The 20,478-nt window shown below is 38.8% G+C and overlaps 1 protein-coding gene across 11 annotated transcripts in view; it reads right to left on the bottom strand.

Moving 5' to 3' along the window:
• UNC13B (unc-13 homolog B) overlaps window positions 1–20,478 on the bottom strand; it is a 243,327-nt gene that overhangs the window by 175,752 nt on the left and 47,097 nt on the right. For 9 of the 11 annotated variants that reach the window (NR_170667.1, NM_001387551.1, NM_001371189.2 and 6 more), the window contains exon 2: window positions 1,540–1,569. Coding sequence is in view for 8 of the 11 variants with exons in the window: in NM_001387551.1 (NP_001374480.1) it covers window positions 1,540–1,569 (30 nt within the window). In the remaining 3 variants the exon portion in view is untranslated. Of the gene's footprint in view, window positions 1–1,539; window positions 1,570–1,650; window positions 1,870–20,478 lie in introns of those variants that run through there. The other 2 variants (NM_001387553.1, NM_001387554.1) reach the window with 1 other exon arrangement.

Genomic DNA, 20,478 nt, shown 5'->3' with positions numbered 1-20,478 from the left:
CCAATCCATGAGCTGGCCAAAAGCTGAAACAAACCTGATTCCCTCTCAAAAGATTTTAAATAGGGTAAAAAGATAAATATTGACAATTGGTGGTTGGTGCTGAAGCTAAAAGGAAGGGGTATAAATTCCACTGAGGCAGCTATTATGGGTACAAGATGGGTAAGCATAGAAAACCAGCTGGGAGAGAAACAACAGAGCAGATTCTCAGAAAAAAAGAGCCAGCAGAGACAAAAAGATAATAACCTTTAAAACAAGAAACTGCTCAGAAACTGCTTTCATTACTGTTGCACCCAAGGTCCAGTTTTTCAGGTTTTCCTGGGTTCTCAAGCGTATTCATATATTTCCAGTAACCCTCCAGCTCCCCTCCCTCCTTCCCCAGCAGTAACCAGAGGAAGTCTTCCTAATGTGACAATCAAAATTGAGGAAATGCACATTAAAATAAGGAAATACCATTTTTAATCTTCAGATGGACAGAGATTTTAAAGTTTCATATCAAATGTTGATAAGGATTTGGGAAAATAAATGTTCATAAACTTTTGGTCTCGGTATATATAGTAAAAACTTGCAAGAGAACAATTTGGCAGGAGTTACCAAATTTTTAAAAATATATATACACTTTTGACCCAGCAATTCTACTTCTGAATCTAGTACATAGACACATTTGCAAAAGCAAGCAATGAGAAGTGCACAAGAACATTTATTATTTGTAATAGCAAAAACTTGGGAACCTAAATATTAATCAAGTATTAATCAATCAGGGACCTATTAATCAGGGTACAAATCTACAACAAAATTCTGTACAGCACCTTAAAAGAACGAACCAGACACACACATACACACACACACACACACACACACACACACACACACACACACACACTTTCATGATGTGTTGCTGGGGGAAAAGCAGGTTGCATAAGATATGTTTCACATGGTCTATTTGAATATTTTAAATTTTAAGAAATTTTATATATGACCCAATAGATACATATACACACACTCTCAAGCTGAAACAGGTTCATGAACTGCAAGACATGATACACTGATATTTCAATATTTATCCACTACACACTGGGGCCTGTCGTGGGGTGGGGGACGGGGGGAGGGATAGCATTAGGAGAAATACCTAATGTAAATGACGAGTTAATGGGTGCAGCAAACCAACATGGCACATGTATACCTATGTAACAAACCTGCACGTTGTGCACATGTACCCTAGAACTTAAAGTAAAAAAAAAAAAATTGTTTCCACTAATTGTCAATATTTATCCTTTTACACTATTTCAGACTTTTTTCTGAGAAAAAGTCGGAAAAGGTATATCAAAACCTCTAAATATATAGTTATTATTGAGAAGTAGAATTGGGTTAGCCAAGAGGTAAGAAAACTAATTTTTCACTAGATTAATGATTTCATGAATTAATTTAGTGAAGTAATGAATCAAATTACTGAATTTGATCAATGAATTAATAATTTTTTTAAATTGCTTTGAAATAACAGCAAATACAAGAGGAAAAGACATAATAGAAAGCTGGCCTTACCTGGTGAACCCTGGAATTTGGCCCTTTTAACTGCAAGAGAAAAAAGAGGATACCATGAAGAATGTTTCCAAGTTCATTTTACTTAAGCAACATTTATTAGGCACTACATACCAATGTTAGAACTAGGTTTAGATTGTTAAATCTAAACCTGGAGAAAAAAAGCTGAGACTTCTGATCAAAACTTGAAAGGCAAAGAGTCAGACGAGACCTTAAAAGTCAATCTGATCTCATATCCAATGCAAAAATCTCTGTTCCAGGCTCCTGACAACAAGGTGGAGAGATCTAAGTTACTCCTGTGGCAGGCAGCCAGTTTCATGTGAGATATCTTCTGAAAGTTTAAGTTACAAATGTTCCTTATTTAAAACCTAGCATAGAAATCCCCTCTATTCTGTTCACACCAAAAGAAGAGCATAACAGGCCAGATCTAGATAATAACCTTTAAAACAAGAATGAGAAATAACTTCTTTCTGAAAATAAGCAGATAGTAAGAGGAGCTCCTGTCAATGTAATCACAAAGCGCTGTTTCCAAAGGCAGTAGAGAACTACACAGGAAAGAATCCCACACTGGAGTGCACATGCCAACTCCTGGGAAAGGTCAAAGACCATACATGCAGGAAAACTGCTAAATCTCAGAAAGCACCAAGTAGCTATCAAAGAAGATTAGAGCTACGTGCCACAGGAGAAAAAAAAAGGTGAAGAAAACCCTAAAACACAAAACCTGGAAAGGATGCTTAAGAGTATACGTCTGCCATTCTCCTTATCCTGCATTACTACTGAAAGCTTCACCTTAACTAACATCCAAGTCCTGCTTAATACTTCTAAGAGATGGGTCATTCTGTACCTTTCACACGTCCTCTCCATTTTCAGACAGGATTTTACTAAAATCTATTCTTTTTATTGAAACAAAGTCTGTCTCTCACTGGAGACTACCTTTTGTAGTCCCATTTCAGTTCAAATCCTCTTCCCAACTGGTGTTCTTTTTCACAAATGTGTAGAAAGTACATACACATCTCTCTGAATAGCCTGGCTAAAGCTACCTTAAAAAGATTAAGCTCTGCAATTACTAATTGGTCAATAAGCATAAATTTGCCATTATGCTAGTCAACGATATAGTGATAATAATGGTTCTGTAATGTGACACTCTATTGAGTGCCACTTGATTGCATGTGAAGGATGCAAAGTATTGTTCCTGGCTGTGTCTGTAAGGGTGTTGCCAAAGGAGATTAATGTTTCAGTCAGTGGACTGGGAGAGACAGACCCACCCTCAACCTGGGTGGGTACCATTTAATCAGCTGACAGCACAACTAGGATAAAAGCAGGCAGAGGAACGCGGAAGGAGAAGACAGACCTGAGTCCTCTGGCCTCCATCTTTCTCCCATGCTGGATGATTCCTGCCCTTGAACATCCAAGTTCTTCAGCTTTTGGACTCTTGGTCTTACACCTGTGCTTTGCCAGGGGCTCTCGGGCCTTTGACCACAGACTGAAGGCTGCACTGTCGGCTTCCCTACTTCTGAGGTTTTGGGACTCGGACTGGCTTCCCAGCTCCGCAGTTTGCAGATGGCCTAGTGTGGGACTTCACCTTGTGATGATATGAGTCAATTCTCCTAATAAACTCTCATATATAGATATGTGTGTGTGTGCATATATGTATATGTGCACTCACACACACACATACACACACACACACACACCCTATCAGTTCTGTCCCTTTAGAGAACCTTGACTAATACAGGTTCTTTCTGGGGGCAGGGGGAACCTTGCAATCTACCAAGGCAGTGGAATTTCAAGCTTGAGCATACATTAGAATCACCTGAGGGCTGTTAAAGCACAGAATGCTGGGCCACATCACCTTAGTTTCTAGACTCAGTGCAGTGCAGCAGGGCCTGTGAAACTGTATTTCTAACAAGTTCCCATGTGATGTTACTGGCATTTACTGGCTAAAGAACAGGGATGCTGGTAAACATTCTACAGTATGCAGGACAGTTCTCCAGAGCAAAACCTAGCCTATCCTACCACCAGTGCCACCCATCACTGCATGCCTCCTGGAGGTCTAGGGACTAGCTTATCAAGCCTGCTCCCACCACTAAAAGCCACACATGCTGCTGAGTGGTGCAAGGACTGGCGCACCACTGCTGCCACCACTGTCAACTCCTCACACGTCACCGCGGGGATCCAAGGACCCACCCACTTGGTCAGCCACTGGCACTGCCAGCACCCAAGCATACCACCTGGAGGCCCAAGGGAGCCCAAAGACTGGCATTCCTAGAATGCCACTGCTACTACTGATTCCAGAGGACCAGCCCATCTGGCATATCAGTCCCCAGCAAAGTCTTGTCACAGCCTCCGCCAACAATTATAGCCTACACCACTGAGAAGCCAAGAAACTAGTCCGAGTAAAGGTGAAGAAATCATACGGAGACTACACTACTGCACCCACCCAGAATCAAAGCCAAAACACCTTTCCCCAGCAACAATATAGATACATCTACAGAAAAAAAGTCTTTCCCTAAAAAAGCCACTCCATAACATTAAAAGAAGGAATTGTTATAACACATACACAAATATCAATATAAGAAGAAAAGAAACATTCAGCCGGGCATGGTGGCTCACACCTGTAATCCCAGCACTTTGGGAGGCCAAAGTGGGTGGATCACTTAAGGAATTCGAGACCAGCTTGGCCAACATGGGAAACCCCATCTCTACTAAAAATACAAAAATTAGCTGGGTGTAGTGGCACATGCCTGTCATCCTAGCTACTCGGGGGGCTGGGGTGGGAGACTCGCTTGAGCCTGGGAGGCAGAGGTTGAAGTGAGCTGAGATAGCACCACCACACTCCAGCGGGGGTGACAGAGTGAGACCCTGTCTCAAAATAACAACAACAACAAACAAGAACACAATAAATATGGGTTCTTGTGTTTTTCCAGTTCTTAGAGGAAAGGCTTTCAACTTTTCCCCATTCAGTAGGATGTAAGCTATGGGTTTGTCACATACGACCTCTACTGTGTTGAGGTATGTTCCTTTAATGTGTAATTTTTTGAGAGTTTTTTTTTTTATGATGAAGGGATGTTGAATTTTATCAAACGCCTTTTCTATGTCTATTGAGATGATCTTAACAGTTTTTGTTCTTCATTCTGTTGATGTGATGTATCGCATTTATTGATTTGCATATGTGGAACCATCATTGCATCCCTGGGATAAATCCCCCTTGATCATGGTATATTATCTTTTTGATATATTACTTGATTTGGTTTGCTAGTATTTTGTTGACGATTTTTGCATCTGTGTTTATCAGGAGTATTTGCCTGTAGTTTTATTTTTTTGTTCTGCCATTGTCTGGCTTAGTAGACAATGCCCCACTTTCACAACTCTCATTCAACTTAGTACTGGGAGTCCTAGCCAGAGCAATCAGGCAAGAGAAAGAAATCCAAGGCAACCACACTGGAAAAGAGGAAGCCAAATTGTCCCTCTTTGCACATGACATGATCTTATATATAGAAAAACCTAAAGACTCCACTGTTTGTTTTTAACTCTAGATCTGATCAATATATTCAGTAAAGTTGCATAATACAAAATCAACTACAAAAATCAGTAATAATAAACTAGCTGAAAAAGAAATTTAAAAAGTAATCACATTTACAATTACTACAAAAAATATTCAATACCTGGGAATAAATTTAACCAAGGGTGAAAGACCTCTACAACAAAAATGACAAAACACTGATGAGAGAAATTGAAGAGAACACAAACAAATGGAAAAACGTACTATGCAAATAGGCTCTAAGAATATTGTTAAAATGACTGTATTATCCAAAGCAATCTAGAGATTAAATGCAATCCCTATCAAAATACCAATGCTATTCATCAGAGAAATAGAAACAACAATCCTAAAATTCATATAAACCACAAAAGACCCTGGATAGTCAAAGCAATGCTGAGCAAAATGGACAAAGCTGAAGGTATCATGCTATCTGACTTCAAAATACACCATAAAGCTATAGTAACCAAAGCAGGTTACTACTGGTATAAAAACTGAGACACAAGCCAATGGAATAGAATAGAGAACCCAGAAATAAATCCATGTATTTACAGCCAATTGATTTTTCAACAAACGTACCAGAAAAACACAGAGGAAAGTATAATATCTTCAATAAATGGTGTTGGGAAAACTGAATATCCATATTACAGAAGAATGAAACTGGGCACCTATCACAAAAATCAACTCAAAATGAATTCAAGAGTTAAATATAAGACCCAAAACTTTAAAACTACTAGAAGAAAACACTTCAGGACATTAGTCTAGTCAAAGATTTTATGGCTAAGACTTCAAATGCATAGAAATAAATAAAAATAGACAAATGGGACCCTATAAAACTAAAAAGCCTTTGCACCGCAAAAGTAACAATCAATAAAGAGACAAACTACAGAATGGGAGACAATATTTGCAAACTATTCATCCAACAAGGGACTAATATCCAGAATATATAAGGAACTCAAATCAAGAGCAAAAAAAAAAATCCCATTAAAAAGTGGACAAAGGATCTGAATAGACATTTCTCAAAAGAATGGCCAACATGTATATGAAAAAAATGCTCAAGAGTACTAATCATCAGGAAAATTAAAATCAAAACCACAGTGAGCTATCATCTCACCCCAGTTAGAATGGCTATCACCAAAACCACAAAATATAACAGATGCTGGCCTGGATGGAGAGAAAAGAGAACTCATATACACTGTGGACAGGAACGTGAATTAGTACAGCCCTTATGGAAAACAGTATGGGGGTTTCCCAAAAAACCAAAAACAGAACTACCACATGATCCAGCAATCCCATTACTGGGTATTTATCCAAAGGAAAGGATGTCAGTATGTCAAAGGGATATTAGCATCCCCATGTTTACTGCAGCACTATTCATGATAGCCAAGGTATAGAATCAACCTAAGTGTCAATCAACAAATAAATGAAGAAAATGTGGTATATATATACAATGGAATACTATTCAGCCATAAAAAGAATGAAACCCTGTCATTTGCAGCAACATGGATGGAACTGGATAGCATCATGTTAAGTGAAATAAGCTAGGCACAGAAAGATAAATTTTGCATGTTCTCACTCATGTGAGAGCTAAAATAAAGGAGATCTCCTGGAGGCAGAGAGTAGAATGATGGCTACCAGATGCTGGGAAGGGGGAGAAGGGTGGTGAAGAGAGGCTGGTTAATGCATACATACAGTTATATTGAAGGAATACGTTGTAGTGTGTGATCACAGACTGGGGTGATTATAGTTATCAATAATTTGCATATTTCAAAATAGCTAGAAGAAAAGATTTGAAATGTTCCCAACACAAAGAAGTGATAAATATTTTAGGTGATGGATATCCTAAATACCCTGGGTTGATCATTACACATTGTATGCATGTACAGAAATATCACATGTACCTCATAAATACGTACAGTTATTATGTATCCAAAAAATGGCCTTCCCATCTGGCCCCCAAAAGATGGTATACAAGCATGAACCATCTTATCTTTCTCTGAATATTTATATCTTGCTTGACTCCCATGCGCACATGTGCATGTAATAATAAAATTTATATGTATTTCTTCCTGTTTAAAAAATGCTATGTACAACAGCATCCCCCCAAAATATTAAATTCTTAGAATAGATTTAACAAAAGAAATGTAAGGCCTGTAAGTTAAAAACTATAAACACTGAGGAGAGAAATCAAAGAAGTAACTAAATGAAGAGATATACCATGGTCAATGTTTGGAAGACTCACTATTGTTAAAATGACAATTTTCCCCATATTAATCTACATATTCAAGACAAACCCAATCAAAATTCTAGCAGGCATTTTTTTTTAGATACTGACAAGCTGGTTTTAAAATTTATATGAAAACGCAAAGGATCAGAAGAGCCAAAAAACATTTTGGGGGAAAAAGGGTGTTGGAGTAATTATACTACCTGATCTCAAGTTATATTATAAAGATACAGGAATCAAGACAGTGTGGTATTGGCATAAAAAGACATAATGATCAATGGAAAAAATTAGAAAGTTCAGAAACAGACCCACACACATATGGGTCAACTGATTTTCAACAAAATTGCCAAGGCAATTCAATTGAGGGAAAAGATAATCTTTTTAACAATGGTACTGAAAAATTCGATATTCATATGCAAGTGCATATACATATTTGCTTATTTTATCCTTACTGTACACAATATGCAAAACTTGAAATGAGTCAGGAATAGAACTAAATGTGAGAGATAAAACTATGAAATATCTGGAAGAAAACATAGGAGAAAATCTTAGTGACCCTGGGTTAGATTTCTTAAATTGTATGCAAAATGCATGAAGTTTAAAAGAAAAAAAATGTACAAACAAGTGCTATGATTTGAATGTGCTATGATCTGAATACCCCATGACAATCAAACCAAAAATGGACAAATAGGATCACATCAAGTTAAATATCTTCAGCACAGCAAAGAAAACAATCAACAAAGTGAAGAGACAACCGACAGAATGAGAAAAAGTAATTTGCAAACTATTCTTCTGACAAGTGATTAATAACCAGAATATATAAGGAGCTCAGACAAGTCAATAGGAAAAAGTCTAATAATCCAATTTAAAAACAGGCAAAAGACCTGAATAGATATTTGTCAAAACAAGACGGACAGGCCGGGCATGGTGGCTCACGCATGTAATCCCAGCACTATGAGAGGCCAAGGAAGGTGGATTGCTTGAGCTCAGGAATTCCAGACCAGCCTGGGCAACATGGTGAAAACTCGTCTTTACCAAAAATACACAAAATCAGCTGGGTATAGTGGCATGCACCTGTGGTCCCAGCTACTCAGGAAGCTGAGGTGGGAGGATCACTTAAGATCGGGAGGCAGAGTTCGCAGTGAGCTGAATTTGCTCCACCGCACTCCAGCCTGGGTGACAGAGTGAGATAACGTCTCAAAATAAATAAATAAATAAAAATTTAAAAGACAGACACACAAATGGCAAACAAGTACATGAAAAGGTGTTAAACATCAATGATCATCAGCAAAATGCAAATCAAAACTACTATGAGGTATCATCTCACCCCAGTTAAAATGGCTTTTATCCAAAAGACAAGCAATAAGAAATGCTGGCAAAGATGTGGAGAAAGGGAACCCTTGTACACTGTTGGCAGGAATATAATTATTAGAGTCACTATAGAGAACAGTTTGGAGGTTTCTCAAAAGACTAAAAATAGAGCTACGATATGATCCTGCAATCCCAATGCTAGGTATATACCCCAAAAAAGGAAATCAGTAAATCTGCACTCCCACATTTATTGAAGCACCATTTCACAATAGCCAAGATTTGGAAGCAACTTAAGTGTTCATCATAACAAAAATGTGCTACATATACACAATGGAGTACTATTCAGCCACAAAAAAGAATGACATCCTGTCACTTGCAACAACATGGATGGAACTGGAGGTCATTGTGTTATGTGAACTATACCAGGCACAGAAAGACAAACTTCACATGCTCTCGCTTATTTGTGGGAGCTAAAAATTAAAACAATTGAACTCATGGAAACAGTAGAACTACCAATAACAGAAGCTACTAGAAAGAGTAGTTGGGGGGGAAGTGGGGATGATTAATGGGTATAAAAATATAGTTAGAATAAATAAGATCTAGTATGTGATAGCACAACAGGGGGACTACAGTCAATAATAATTTATTGTACATTTTAAAATAACTAAGAGTATATAATTAGATTGTTAAACAAATAAAGGATAAATGGTTGAGGTGATAGATACCCCATTTACCCTAATGTGATTAAGCACTGTATGCCTTTAACAAAATATCTCATGTACCCTATAAGTATATACATGTATTATATACCCCAAAATTAAAAATTAAAGAATACAAAATAAGGGGAACAAATAAAAATATATATTCATATTTGCTTATACCTGCATAAACAAACTCTGCTAAAGACAAAACTAGTAATGATGAGTTATTCATACAAAAAGACAAAATTAAGCCCTTACCTCATGCTAACACAATTATGAATTATAAATGGATTAAACATCTAAATGTGACACTAAAGCTTTAAAACGTTCAGAAAAAAATAAGAGAATGAATATCTGCATGATAGACAAATAGACATATGCACACATTTTAGAATAATAATAACCCTAAAAGGAAGGAATGCACACCAACTTTGAGAGTGACTACAGCTTGGGAAAGAGAGATTGAGACAGTAAAGAAAATTTCAACTTTATCCACTGTACACCATTTTTTTAATCTTGACTAATGTAACAAATCATTAACATTTGTTAAATTAAGGTGGCAACTACATGGGTATGCAATATATTATTCTCTGTTCTTTTTTAGAAGTTTGAAAATTTAAAGAAAACAATGTCTTTACTTTTTTTTTTTTTTTTTTGGACACAGGGTCTTGCTCTGTCACCCAGGCTGGAGTGCAGTGGTATAATCATGGCTCACTGCAGCCTTGACCTCCAGGGTTCAAGCAATCCTCCTGCCTTAGCCTCCCAAGTAGCTAGGACCACAGGTGTGTGCCACCACACCTGGCTAATTTACTACTACTTAATATTCAAATACCCACTGTTGGAAAACAGTTTCTATCTATACCTCGCTGTTTAATACACTGGTTTTCTATAAATTTAGCAAGGTACTGAAACTGGTGTGCTATCTGCCAGCCATGAGTCAAGTGGCTTCTCCTAATAGTGAAAGCAGGGAACAACCAGGGCAAAGACTCTGCACTCAAAGGACCAAAGAAGGGACCCCCAGCTGGTACCACCAGCCACTCCACTGCCAATGAGGTTTCTCCCCAATGTTGAGTGTATGGAAATCTAACGCCATCGGCCTACACACACTAAATATATTTGTTCTATAGAATTTTTTAAATTTAACCATGAAGAAAACTCTAAACTCTCCTCCAGATTTTGATTCTCACCCAGTTCCTTAACGCTATGAAAAATAAACACGAACACTGGCCGGGCACAGTGGCTCACGCCTGTAATCCCAGCACTTTGGGAGGCCGAGGCAGGCAGATCACCCGAGGTTGGGAGTTCAAGGCCAGCCTGACCAACATGGAGAAACCCCATCTCTACTAAAAATACAAAATTAGCCAGGCGTGGTGGTGCATGCCTGTAATCCCAGCTACTCAGGAGGCTGAGGCAGGAGAATCACTTGAACCCGGGAAGCAGAGGCTGCAGTGAGCCAAGATTGCACCATTGCACTCCAGCCTGGGCAACAAGAGCGAAACTCCATCTCAAAAAGAAAAAAGAGAAAAGAAAAAGAAAAACACGAACATTAACTCTGCACATTTCTAAATTAACCACTTAACCAGACGCGGTGGCTCACGGCTATAATCCCAATACTTTTCAAGGTCAAGGTGGGAGAACTCCTTCAGGCCAGGAGCCTGAGATGAGCCTGGGAAACACGGTGAGGCTCTGTCTCTACAAAAAATTAATTAATTAATTAAAAATAATAATAATAAATAAAAATGGAGCCTGGGAGGCAGAGGTTGCCGTGAGCCTTGATCATGCCACTGCACTCTAGTCTGGGTGACAGAGCCAGACCCTGTCTCAAAATTAATAAATAAATATATTGAGCTGTATGAATCAGATCAGCTTGGACACCCACACATCCTTTTTCATCAGTGACCTTCTAACAGATCTAGACTCACACCAAATAAGAGTCTTGAAGAGTAAAATTAATAATCATAATAATATAATAATAGTAGCTGCATGTCAACTACAATCCTATGTTGCTTCTTGCCATCCCATGAAGTATATTTTTCACTGATAAGTTTTCCAGTGTGTGGACATGTTATTGTTTTTGTTACTCTTTTCCCTTGGCTCTTAGGATTAGAAATCATCAGTTTCAGAGAAAACCTGGTGAGAGAAAGAGCCTATCTCACAATATATAATAGAAAGTAAAAATGCCAGGTACTCATTGCCTAGACTCCCTTACAGGTTATAATTTTTTCTCTTTCCACGCCTAAAATCTTTTTTTTTTGAGGGTTTTGCTGTGTCATCCAGGCTGAAGTGCAGTGGTGCAAACACAGCTCACTGCAGCCTCCACCTCCAGGGCTCAGGCTCCTGAGTAGCTAAGACTAGGTACCTGCCACCACGCCTGGCTAATTTTTTTATTTTTTATAGAGACAAGGTCTCATTATATTGCTCAGGCTGGTCTCAAACTTTCAAGCTCAAGTGGTCCTCCCTCCTCAGCCTCTGAAAGTGCTGGGATTATAGGTGTAAGCCACCGCACCCAGCCTTAATTATTTTCTGATCTTATTGCATAGAATAGGACTGCCTGTAAACTATTGAATGTAAGAAATGATAGTAGGCGCCGGGCACAGTGGCTCACGCCTGTAATCCCAGCACTTTGGGAGGCCGAGGCGGGCGGATCACGAGGTCAGGAGATCGAGACCATCCTGGCTAACACAGTGAAACCCCGTCTCTACTAAAAATACAAAAAAATTAGCCGGACGTGGTGGCACGCCCCTGTAGTCCCAGCTACTCGGGAGGCTGAGGCAGGACAATGGCGTGAACCCAGGAGGCGGAGCTTGCAGTGAGCTGAGATCACGCCACTGCACTCCAGCCTGGGTGACAGAGACTCTGTCTCAAAAAAAAAAAAAACAAAAAAAACAAACAAACAAGAAATGATAGTAGGCATCCTTGTATTGTTCCTGACTTTAAAGAAAATACTTTTAATAAATCAATTTTGAGTATGATGTTTGCTATAGGTTTCTTTAAAGCTTATTTTGAAATAATCAGAGGGAGTTGCAAAAATAGTAGAGAGGTCCTATGTACCCTTCACCTAGTTCCCAACAATAGTTAAATCTTACATAACTATAGTACAATATCAAAAAGAAAAAACCTGATGTGTGTGCGTAGTTCTGTGCTATTTATCACATATGTAGACCCATGTTACTATTGCCACAATCAAGATATAAAACTATTCCATCAACACGAAGATCTCCCTCTTGCTACCACTTTATAGTCATATCTACACCCTCCCTCATCATCCCAAACCATTGGAACCATTAATCTGCTCTCCATCTCCATCATTTTGTCATTTGCAGAATGTTATACCCAGAGAATCACACAGAATATGACCTTATGAGATTGTTTTTTTTCCACTCAGCATAATGCCAAGTTGTTGAATGTATCACTCACATAGTTGGATTATGTTTTTATATCCAATATGCCAACTGTCTTTAAATTTGTGTGTTTAGACTATTTACATTTAACGTAATTATTAAAATGTTAGGGCTTAAGTCTGACATTTTATTTTCTATTTTCCGTTTTCTTTTTCCTGCCTTCCTGTGGATTAAATATTTTTCAAATTTCTACACCTTTTATCTATCATTAACAGGGGTTAACAGGAGTTAGCGAAGGGGAGGAGCCATGGTCTTTCCATGGCATGTGGCTAGAGTAGCGTGGTTATTGTCCAAAAGTTTCTGTCTTGCTATGTTTCCTCTTTCACCATCTTTTAAAGAGAAAAGGCTGTTTTTGGCTTTCTTGGGGTGTATGTTCCCATTGCCATTTCTGACTAAGTTGCCAGTTGATCCAACACTTACGTTATATGAGGCAAATAAACAATCAAGCAAGTCCAGGGAACTCACTGCTATGTCATTCCATGGGTCGTGAAACCCCTAGCTGGTCTGTCGTCTTCTCTTTACCTTTCAAATTCTTCCTATGTTTGTTTTACATACAGTGTCCAGGGTTTTGAGCTATACTTAGCAGGAGCAATACAGAACAATCCATCCTGGTCCAGAAAAGAAAGGTCCCTTTTGAATTTACCATGAATTTTTATCATGAATGCTTACTGAATTTTATCAAATGCTTTTTCTGCATCTGTTGAGATGATCCAAGGATGTTTCCTCTTTAGTCTGTTAATGCTACAGATTTTAGATGATTAACAGATACAATACATTAACATATTTTCAGATGATAAACCACTCTTTTATTCCTAAAATCAACTTAACTTGATAATGCTGTATTATTGGTTTATATGAAGCTAAATACATTTTAACAATGTCTTTAGGACTTTTGGTCCTTTATTTAGGCTTGAAAATGGCCTTAGTATTTATTTACAAAAATGTTATTGTCTGGTGATAGTAATATTAAATTACTATCATCATAAAGTAAGTTAGGGAAAGTTCCCTCTATTACGATTAAAACTCCGGCTCAGAGACACCAGGAATCAGAAGATACTAACAGGCAAATGCTGGCTTTAGCACCTGCTCATGTTTTCTTATTGTTTCTGGCCTTCCAATAATTCAACTATGTAGGAAAAAAATTGCTCATTTTGTCCCTGTCAATAGCATATTCAGGTGTACTAGAATGAGAATAGTTTCCTCAGAAAACTAGTTTATCACATTCCAGAAAATAAAAACCCTATCCTTGAAATTTATTACATCTGAATTTTAACTAAACCACATCTCTAAATTCTTCCCAGAAAAAAAACACAACCTTAGACTACTTTAACTACAATCTCTACTTTCTGCTTTACATCCTATTGTTGTCAGGAACTTTATTTCCATCTTGTTTGTAAAACTGTAACATATTAGACATAATTAAAATTATAGTAGTTTTATAAAGTATATTTATTTATTTTTGGTTTGTTTTTGAGACAGTCTCACTCTGTCACCCAGGCTGGAGTACAGTGGTGAGATCATGGCTGACTGCCGCCTTGACCTCCTGGGCTCAAATAATCCTCCCACCTCAGACTCCCCAGTAGCTGGGATTACAGGCGTGTGCCACCACACCTAGCTAATTTTTTAAATTTTTTGTAGAAACAGGGTCTATGTTGCCCAGGCTGGTCTCAAACTCTTGACCTCAAGTGATCCTCCCACCCCAGCCTTCCAAAGTGTTGGGATGATAGGCATGAGCCACCACTAAAGTATATTTATTTACATTTACTCATGTTTAACAACTGTTCTACTCAATAGTCTTTCTTGTATCTCAATCCTTCCTTCTCATTTCAATTTCCCTCTTCCAGAAGCAACTGTGAGAGACTGTTCAATTTTTCACTTATTCAACAAATACTTACTAAATGCCTACTATGTGCCAAGGATTGTTCAAGTTAGTAGAGATACAGCAGTGGAGAAAGAAAAATCCCTTTCATCACTGAGCTTACATTCTCACATTTTTGTCTGAAATGTCTATTTTACTTTCAATTTTGAATAATTTAGCTAGTAAAAAAATTCTAGATAGTAATTTCTCTCAGGATCTCTATTGTTACTATTACGGTCTTAATCTGTCATTCCTTTGTAGATAATCTGTCTTTTCTTCCAATTAACTTCATGAAGTCCAGCCATTTCTCATTAAATATTGCCTCTCCTCTCCTCTCCTTTTTCCCCCCTAGAGAACTTCTATTAACTATGTTGGACTTTCTCATTTTATCTGCAATGTCACTCAGCCTCTCTCTTTCTCCCTCTGTTACATAATGGGTAATTTCTTTCTAGTATACATTCAAAAATTCAATAATACTCTTCACTTGTTTAACTTTTCCCTTGAGTTTTTCTTTTTGGTTCTTTTTCAAATATACCTAGTTTCTTTTGTTTTGTTCTTGTTGTTGTTGTTGATTGTTTGTTTGTTTTTGAGACAGAGTCTTGTTCTGTTGCCTAGGCTGGAATACAGTGGTGCGATCTCCACTCACTGCAACCTCTGCCTCCAGGGTTCAAGTGATTCTCCTGCCTCAGCCTACTCAGTAGCTGGGATTACAGGCATGCACCACTACACCCAGCTATTTTTGTATTTTTAGTAGAAAAGGGGTTTTATTGTGTTAGTCAGGATGGTCACCAACTCCTGACCTCAGGTGATCCACTCATCTCCACCTCCCAAAGTGCTGGGATTATATGCGTGAGCCACCATGCCCAGCCTGGTCTTTTTTCTAAATATAGTATCCCTTTCTTTTTCGATTCCTTTTTAAATGTCTATAATCATTTCATACTCATTTTGATTTATACTCAGTCTGCTATCACCAGTTAATGAAGGTCTGATTATGTTCTACGTCATGTATCATGACACTCTGGTTGGCTATTTTTTTTGTAGGTTTTATAATTTTGCATTATGAACTCATGTAAAGTGTAGCTGTATCCACAGAAATTTGTGTAACCTGATGTGAGAGTGTGGCCCAAAGTTGTTTTCTAGCTTTGGACTGTCTTTTTGGGGTAGCTTACTGGCTTAGGGATTGCTGAACCATGTAAATTAAACAAATTTGAATCTCAGACTTTCATGAGCACAAGCCTCTGGTTATGAATACTCAAGTCAGACACTTTTTCCCCCATCCACCCAGAACTCAGACTAAGATGAATAAACTTGCTTTTCATCTTCCTGTGAATATTTTCTAGGCCAGGCTTTAACTGAGCATATGACCCTTTGAGAATCCTAGCTTTATGGAAGCAAGGATCTTATTTCCAGCTACCTGACTCATCACCTTGTCTCTTGTCACCAGGAAGCCATTATAACCTATGCCTTTATGGTAAGAATGCCTTTGCTGCCTTATGTATTAGGTCAGGCTGCCTTAATAAGACACCATAGATTGAATGGCTTAAACAACAATAATTTATTTCTCACAGTTCTGGAGGCTGTAAAGTCCAAGATCAAGATGCCAGCCGATTTTGTTCCTCAGTAAGGGCTCATACTTCCTGGCTTGCAGATGGCTGCGCTCTCACTGTGTCCTGATACCAGATGCAGGGGAGACCGGGAAAGGAGTACAAACTGCCTGGTGCTGTTCTTATAAGGGTACTAACCCCATCATGAAGGCCCTACCCTCATGACCTTATCTAAACCAAATGACCTCCAAAAGGCCTCATCTACAAATACCATCACATTGGGAGCTGGGGTTTCAACATAGGGATTTGGTGGAGGGCATCACAATTCAGTCCACCTTATGAAGAGAAGTGAATTTATACATACCACTTAGGGCACTGCCCTGGAACACAGTTAGCACTCAATATATTGTGTGTTATTTCCATTTAACTTAACCTATACAGCCACCAGAAAAGGTGGGTACTATTGTTTCCCCATTTTGCAGGTGAGAAACCTGGAATTCAAAGAGGCCTTGCCCAAGGTCCCACAGCTCAAGGTCTGGAACTAAAATCTAGGTGTATGTAATGGCATAAATTAGCTGGGCTATTTATTAGGGGGTGGGAGGCTATTCCACTAGGAGTAACACGTCATTAACAACTGCTCCTCCACCAACTCTCATGTTCTTAAAGCATTAGTTCTACTTTCTACTCTGGTTTTTAAATTGTTTTCCATTTTAGCCCAAGGGAGAGCCGCCTTACTTTCTTGGGAGCTAAATTATATCCTTAATGGGATATTTGTTATATTTGGTCAGTATTTCTAAGCTTTTGCAGTACAAGGGTTTGAGGTCATGTAGTTTATAATATTCTGCCTTTCATGCTTTCATATCTCATGTGGCTTTATTCTTAAATATTTTATTTTTTTGAGACAGAGTCTCACTCTGTCACCCAGGATGGAGTGCAGTGGCACAATCTCAGCTCACTGCAATCTCCACCTCCTGGGTTGAAGCGATTCTTGTGCCTTAGCCTCCTGAGTGGCTGGGACTACAGGCACACGCCACTGTGCTTGGCTAATTTTTGTATTTTTAGTGGAGACAGGTTTTCGCCATGTTGGCCAGGCTGGTCTCCAACTCCTAGCCTCAAGCGATCCACTAATCTCGGCCTCCCAAAGTCCTGGGATTACAGGCATGAGCCAGTGCGCCTGGCCTATTCTTAGATATTTTATACCTCTGTGCTACTGTGGATGGGATATTTTTTCTCTTACTTTTTGTGACAACTTATTACTAATGCATAGAAAAGTTATTCTTATAGATTGCTCTGATTACCTTAGGGTCTAACTTCATGCAAAAGTGAAGCAGTCTTCCAAGTAAGCTCAGGTTTCTTAGTACATGTTAGCTCAGATATTTTTATCCAAAGTATACAGATAAGTTTGCAACTCAGAATAGCTACACTCAAAGCTCTTAATTTATTTCCATTATAGAAAGTACATTACCGGGTGGGTGCAGTGGCTGATGCCTGTAATCCCCACACTTTCAGAGGCCGAGGCAGAAGGATCACTTGAGCCCAGGAGTTCAAGGCCAGCCTGGGCAACATAGTGCAGCCTCAACCTCCCAGGCTCAAGCCATCCTCCCGCCTCAGCCTCCGGGGTAGCTAGGACTACAGACATGCACTACCACACCCAGCCAAAATTTAATAAAATAAACTTTTTATTACAATCTTTAATAATACTGCTCTACAATGAGTTTTATGATAAGCCGTAATGATGAGGGACAGAGAAACAGACATTCTCATACACTGTAGGTAAATGTGTAATTTGGAACAGTCTTTAGGGAGGGCAATTTGGCAGAATCTATCAAAGTCTTAAAAAGCACAGACCTGTGCTCTCCCAGTACTACTACTCATATTGCTATACTTGCACATTTGCAAAAATAAAGATACTCATTGTAATCTATTTGGCAATAGTAAAATGTTAGAATCAGCCTAAATGTTCAATAGAAGATGAGTAGATAAGTTAAAATACACCTATATAATGAAATACTATGCAATAAAAATAAGGCAGATTTACGGGTACCCACATGGAATAATTTCCAAAATACATGAATGTAAAAACACAAATCATCTAGACTTAAGACCTGACACACACACACACGATAAAAAGTATGCATAGGATGCTACCACTTACATTTTCAAAAGTGAAGACAGGCACACATATGCTTATAAGATAAAAAATCTAGAAGAACACACAAAGAACCTTGTTTTAGTACATGCCTCTCTCCAAGGACAACTGAGAGGAAGACATGAGAAGATTTACTTTTCACCGTATATTCTTTATTCTTACTTAAAATTATCATGTGAATATATTATGTGTTTAAAACATAAATAGGATGCTGACTTAAAATATTTCAGCTTAAAATGACTTTTATATTTGCCACACAAAACTGCCAAAAACAATTTTAAAACTTCTCCCAAGCACAGTATTGCACTCCTGTAGTCCCAGCTACTTGGAAGGCTGAGGCAGGAGGATTCATTGAGCCCAGGAGTTAGTACAGCCTAAGCAACATAGAGAGACCCCCATCTCTTTAAAACAAACAAAAATACAAAACACTTCTATGGGGCATTGCAAGATTTCTGCAACAATGACCACTAACAAGAGTCCATCAAAGATAAGTTTATAGGCCAGATGCAGTGGCTCACACCTGTAATCCCAGCACTTTGGGAGGACGGTGTGGGCAGATCACTTGAGGTCAGGAGTTCAAGACCAGCCTGGCCAACATGGTGAAACCCCATCTCTACTAAAAATACAAAAATTAGCCGGGCATGGTGGCACATGCCTGTAGTCCCAGCTACTCGGGAGGCTGAGGAATGAGACTCGCTTGAACCCAGGAGGCGGAGGCTGCAGTGAGCTAAGATCGTGCCACTGCACTCCAGCCTGGGTGACTAAGTGAGACTCTGTCTCAAAAAAAAAAAATAAGTTTATTAAACAGGGAATGGTTTACAATAATTTCAAATGTCAGCCCCGCAAGTAGGAATAAGTCAAACAGTGTAGCAGTGCCAGTAAATAAAACTTTCTGTGATGATGAAGGAATTCTGTGTCTGCACTGTCAACTGTAGTACCCATCAGCTTTATGTGGCTAATGAGTATGTGAAATGTGGTTAGTGTAACTGAGAAAATGAATTTTTAAATTCATTTAATTTTAACAAATTTACATTTAAATACCCACATGTAGCTAGTGAAAACTATACTGGACAGGAAGCTATATACAAATTGAGTGGAGGAAATGGTAAGCAGGTGTGCATGGATAGAAATCAATCGCTCAAAATATGGAATAAGGTCAATTTAAAACATTTATTAGGAATTATTTGTTCTTGAAATGCATAAGGTAACTTAAATGCTTTCTAGAAGGAAAAAAAAATTTTTTTTTTAGTAACTGGGTATTATTTTGTTGTCCAGGCTGGTCTTGAACTCCTGGGCTCAAGCGATCCACCCACCTTGGCCTCCCAAAGTGGTGAGATTACAAGCATGAGCCAACATGACTGGCTGAGAAAACTGTTCTTATTGCCGTGTGCTTAAAAGAAGGGTAAGGCACCTAAGGAAAGTATTAGTCCACTAGAAGGGAAACATAACACTAAAAATAAGGTTTTCTTACTGTTATCTCAAATGTCAGTCTGGGAATAATTAAATAAGTAACAAAATTTGTCATGTAAAATGGAAATAGAATGAAGAATGATGTAGGGAAAAGAAGGGGGTAGAAAAGGGAATGAAAAACAGCAGCAATGTATAGAACTATATCATTGCCAAGTTTTCTCAAGATTCCTCATTTGGCTGGGCGTGTGGCCCATGCCTAAAATCCCAGCACTTTGGGAGGCCGAGGTGGGCGGATCACTTGAGGTCAGGAGTTTGAGACCAGCCGGGCCAACATGTTGAAACCCCATCTCTACTAAAAATGCAAAAATTAGCTGGGTGTGGTGGTGCGCACTTGTAACTCCAGCTGCTTAGGAGGCTGAGGCAGGAGAATTGCTTGAATCTGGGAGGTGGAGGTTGCAGTGAGCCAAAGTCATGCCACTGCACTTCAGCCTGGGTGACAGAGCAAGACTCTATTTTAAAAATAATAATAATAACTAAAGTGGAAGGGAGGCTGGGCGTGGTAGCTCATGCCTCTAATCCCAGCACTTTGGGAGACTGAGGCAGGCAGATCACTTGAGGTCAGGAGATCAAGACTAGCCTGGCCAACATGGTAAAACCCCATCTCTACTAAAAATACAAAAATTAGCCGGTGCGGTGGTATATGCCTGTAATCCCAGCTACTCAGGAGGCTGAAGCAGGAGAATCGCTTGAACTCGTGAGGCGGAGACTGCAGTGAGCCGTGATTGTGCCACTGTACTCCACCCTGG

This window comes from Homo sapiens, chromosome 9 (assembly GCF_000001405.40).
Source record: "Homo sapiens chromosome 9, GRCh38.p14 Primary Assembly".
Classification (NCBI taxonomy): domain Eukaryota; kingdom Metazoa; phylum Chordata; class Mammalia; order Primates; family Hominidae; genus Homo; species Homo sapiens.
This window is presented reverse-complemented; position numbering and strand designations above follow the sequence as displayed.